The 5,395-nt window shown below is 35.4% G+C and overlaps 1 annotated feature.

Moving 5' to 3' along the window:
* Positions 2,105–2,305: a silencer, noted in NCBI's record as "peak6047 fragment used in MPRA reporter construct". NCBI's record gives its function as "represses an SCP1 promoter by STARR-seq MPRAs in K562 erythroleukemia cells {active_cell/tissue: K562}" and the evidence as "EXISTENCE:reporter gene assay evidence [ECO:0000049][PMID:32103011]".

Consider the following 5,395-nt stretch of genomic DNA (forward strand, 5'->3'; position numbering starts at 1 on the left):
CAAAAATAAACTAAAACGTAAGAAAAAGATATAGCCCACATATGAGAGGAGGGGAGCTGGAGGTCTAGCAAAAAGGAAATAACTTCTCATCTGTTGTGGTAAAAGACAGTCAGTGACTAAAATGGTGGGTGGAGAACTAGACAGATATTTTCCAAAAGAAAGACCTAAAAAGATGAAAGTGCTTATTTGTGTGGAATAGGTCTAGAGTAGGAAAAGGATAAGGGACTCACTGCTTGTAATTCATTTGTATAGATTCCTTCATAAAAATAAAATATAAAAATTTATAAAATACATATACAATACTTAGGTGTTTAGAGTTTTATACTATATATAGAAATATAGTTATATTTCACAGTAGTCAATTACTATATTCACTTCTTTTTGATGACATGTATTTATAGTTTTTCTGAGATTGCCCCTTTTTATTTTTTATGAGACATACTTTTGCTTTGTTTATTTTTGTAATGTATATATGAATACACCACTTTCCATCTTAAAAGTTTGAAGGTATTTTGATGTTCTCTGTAGGTAGGTTATTGATCTTTAATACAGTAAAAAAATTCTCCATATTAAATATTGTTTTCTTGCATCAGAGGACCCTAGAAAATTCTTAAGGTATAACTTGAACAATATTATGGGATTTATGTCAAAATAGCATTGAAAGATAACATAAAGACACACAGTGAAATAAATTTTCTGGGAAAAGAATGGAGCTGTGCTTGGACGAATGTGATGAGAAAAGAGATGTTTAATTAATTAACTGTTTTCATAACGTACCCCCAAAAAAGAGATAATTTTTTTTTTTTTTTTGAGATGGAGTCTTGCTCTGTCGCCCAGGCTGGAGTGCAGTGGCATGATCTCGGCTCACTGCAAGCTCAGCCTCCTGGGTTCATGTCATTCTCCTGCCTCAGCCTCCCGAATAGCTGGGACTACAGGCACCCACCACCACACCCGGCTAATTTTTTGTATTTTTAGTAGAGACAGGGTTTCACCGTGTTAACCAGGATGGTCTCGATCTCCCGACCTCGTGATCCACACGCCTCAGCCTCCCAAAGTCCTGGGATTACAGGCATGAGCCACTGCGCCCAGCCGAGAAATTATTTTAAAGATTAGAAACGCCTCATAGTTTCTATCATTTTTGCGATGCGAATTTGCAGTGTTTTAATTATTCTTTTATTTTTTTCTAATGTTTGATGAATGCCAGCCCTACCCAAATACACAGCCTAAGATCTTCATATATCAGTAAGACAAAACTTTGCTTGCAAAATTCTTGTTATGAGATTTATGGCCCTGGATAATTGCTTTATTTTGGGTTAACCTGCTATTTATGCAGATTGTTTTAGTTTGATTCTACTAAAAACTGAAAAATATGGTAAGTCAAAAAAGGAATGAAAATAGTTTATTTTTGAAATCTTTATACCAAAAGGTAAGCTAAACTTTCATTCAAATCTAAATAAAAGTTTTGTTGCATTTTATGAGTCTAAATCATTGGGTATAAGTTAGTAAGCATGCTACAGCCCAACTGTGAAGTTTGAGCTCACAGAGCACGTATCATGCCTGTGCTGGCAGCTTTTTAAGTCCAGGATACTCTTGCTGTGAATCCTGAAAACATCTGGAACAATGGCATTCATATAAATGAAGAAAGCAATCAATTATTGCAACCTATGGAGTTATTCTTCAGTAATTAACATATGGTAATAATGTCAACAAAACACAGCAGTGGTTGTATTCATCAAGTTTTGGATTTAGCTTAAGGTTTATAATAAAACTGTCATTTGTTTTTATTCACCAAGTGTAACAACTACAAGTCATAGATGTCTTTGGATTTTGGAACACTTCTTTTCAGACAACTTTTGATTTTACTGCTGATTTTAACCAAAAAAGGGGAAGCACATACCTTCTAGTTTAATCTCAATTTTAGTGCTGAGTCTATTCATGAAGCGTCCCAATTTGAGAGCAATATATCTCTGGCCAATTTCTGATCAACATGAATAATTCCCGTGACTGTTTTTTTCTGGAATGAGATCCTTTAGTCATACAGTAGAATTTTAAAGATAAATGAATGCTGTCATGTAATTTATACAAATTCTCTCTCGTTATTTTTTAGAAGACTAATCTAAAACAGAAAACTTAAGAAAGTTGCTAATCATCATAGAACCAATGGTCTGAAAGTTTCCAACATGCTTGTCTGACTGATAAAGTATCTGTACTTATCTTTCTGCTTAAGAGCTTTAGGCAAATTCTGATTCTGAAAGCAGACACATATATCAACTGAGAAAAAAATGCCCAGGTTTTCAATCCAAGGAATTGAGGGACTACTGAATCATCCATAAACTGACTTGCTGGTTAAGAGATGAGGCATTCATTGACTATCTGGTTCTTTTCAGCCAGGTACATAGCTCCTGATAGATCTAGTTTGTAAAACAATAGACACCTTAGTCTGGGGAAAACAGCTGCAATGGACAGTATTCTACTTTGTTTAAAATGTTCAAATTATACATGAATGAAAAGACAATATTTTCTTTTTCAAAATAAGCTATACAACAATTACTATTCCAGAGCATTCTATATTAATATGAGTCTGTCGATTTTTTTCAGGAATTTTCATTTGTTAATTAGAAGCAGGACATAGGCTGTGGTGATTAATATTTCTGCATTTCTTTTAAAATTGACTTGTACAGTCTTTGCCTATAATCTTTTGGCTCAGTTCACCAATCAATTAAATACACACTGTTTTTCTATTTCTGAATGTCTTAAAATCATGTATAAAGCCTAAATTATTTCAAATTTTAGAACAAGAATAAACTTTAAATCTAAATGTCCCATTAGCTATCAGAAATTCAACAAATAAAAAATTTGCTTAGAATTAATTTATTCTTTTTAAACTTGTTTCCTTTGAATTTAAAAAGATATTTAATGCTGGCTGGTGCGGTGGCCATGCCTGTAATCCCAGCACTTTGGGAGGCTAAGGCAGGCAGATCACAAGGTCAGGAGATCGAGACCATCCTGACTAACACGGTGAAACCCCATCTCTACTAAAAATACAAAAAATTAGCAAGGCATGGTGGCGGGCACCTGTAGTCCCAGCTACTTGGGAGGCTGAGGCAGAAGAATGGCGTGAATCTGAGAGGCAGAGGTTGCAGTGAACCGAGATCACACCACTGCACTCCAGCCTGGGCGACAGAGCGAGACTCCATCTCAAAAAAAAAAAAAAAAAAAGATATTTAATGCTTCAAACTAATAAAACATAATGATGCATATGCTATTATAGGTATGTGAAATTTGCCTTTTTATTCTTTCCAAAGATAAATTAATATCTCATCCTGATGTTACAAAACAAAATTATTTTTATTTATAGCTATTCTCTGATTTTTTAGTATAAAAATGACAAATATAAAGAAAAAATTATTGAACCAACCACATTGGATAAATGTGGTGGGCATAATCAAAGGAAAGTGAAGCTTTAGAAATTGATCAAATTCTATTTAAATTGTGACATTTCTTCAAACGGAAAAACATAAAATTCTCCCAACAAGATCATATAGTTACAGAAAGTGCTTCTGATTTCTCTCCCTGTCTTTCTCAATGCCTCTCTCTCTCAATCTCTCTTTCTCAATCTCTTCCCCACCATTCTTTGGTTTCCTTGTTCACCAAATTGCTCATAGATTCAACTAGAACTTTCTTTTTTTCTCCTAGCAGAGATAAACTCTTATCTCAGGCTGATTTTTCCACAAGGACAACCTTGGTGTCTTTAGGCATGTAATTGACTCCAGGCCTGCTCTAAAACCTATTGCAAGATAGGATTTTTGTTTGTTTGTTTGTTTTAACCATGCACTATATCCTTCTTTCTTCATCCTCTGTGACTAATTGAAGGCATCAAATCCTTTTTCATGAAGCTCCTGCTTATGCCCTGCACTTGGTTTATTCCCTCCAAAGCTTGGGTTTGTTTTTCTCTTTCTAGATTGTGGAGTGTAATAAAACACTTGAGGTATTATAACAGCAGTATAAAGTAATAAGCCAGGAAACGAACTTGGAGGTCTATATTCTTTATAAAAATATGACTTTTAAATAAACATATTATATTGAGTTGTGTCAATAGTAATAAACATGACAAGCTAAGAAGAAGTTGATATTTACAAGCTCATTGAAAGTACCGAGAAGCCATACAAAATTACAGACACACTTCCTAATTATAGCCACACTTCCTATTAAATGACTAAAAAAACTATTATATTTTAAATTAATATATATGCTATTGTTCAATATTTACTTAATTCTTTAAATTGAAACTTGTAAAATCAATGCTGTTTAAGTTAGAGAACCTCAATATTTGAAAATAGCAGGAGGGAAAAAAGGTAATTTTAAACACTGAGGAAAGCCTCTTTTTAGACAGAGAGAAAAGGATAATTACAGAGATGGAGACTCTGGCCCTCAAGCAGATTACAGACTAGCCTGAAAGACATATAAGCCTATAAACAGTAGCAGATGGACGAAGGCAGTGTAGGACGGAAGAAAGAAGTGAGGGAAAATGACAGTCCCAAACCAAGCATTCAGCATTGAAGAGAGCACACAGGAGAGTTTGACAGAACCTCAAGCCACACTGGCACTTAAAAAGAAATCTTGAGAGACCCATGGAAGAAGGAGACTAAATCCTTGGGTAGGGCAAAAACAGAAGCCTAGTGTGAGAGAGAGCCAGGGAGAGACCATATAGGGTATGAGCCCAATACAAAGTTTTCCTTCTGCCTTATTATAACCCCCTTTCTCTGTGTTGCCTTGGTGGAAGTTAACCCAAAAGTTTCTAGTTGGGTGTCTGAGCAGGGCAGCACCCTCTCCACTACATTTGCAAAAGTTGCCTGGAGCTTGTCAGGTAGGTCCAGAACTGAGGCTCTTCATAGCCCACAAATAGCTCTCCATGTGTAGGAAGCTCCCAAAACTTCCCAGGAAGAGCAGAGCCCAGGCCCAGGCTTTTGTTCCTCATGTTAGGTAAGCATTGTGAACCAGGGAAGCTGACATTTGTAATACAGTGGTTCTCAACTCTGGCTACACATAACAATTCCCAGGGGTGGGGGGACTTTTTAAAAAATACCAATTCCTAGAACACCAATTAAATTAGAATGCCTTAAAGTGGCACACCGGCATTGACATTTTTAAAATATTCTCTCAATAATAACAACATACAGTGAGATTAGAGAATCATTGGTCCTAAGGCATTTATAGAAAAACAGGAAAGCTATCTAAGAAAGATAAAAAAGGGAATAAGACCACAGATAGAAAGGAAATAGCAAACTGTTTCCAAATTAGTAGTGCACTAAGTTGAAGAGCATTCTGCTCGTGTAGAATGCTTTCTAGAATTGTGTAGAATTGCTCTGACGAGGACCAATTCAAGAGCTACCAT

Source organism: Homo sapiens, chromosome 6, assembly GCF_000001405.40.
Source record: "Homo sapiens chromosome 6, GRCh38.p14 Primary Assembly".
Taxonomy (NCBI): domain Eukaryota; kingdom Metazoa; phylum Chordata; class Mammalia; order Primates; family Hominidae; genus Homo; species Homo sapiens.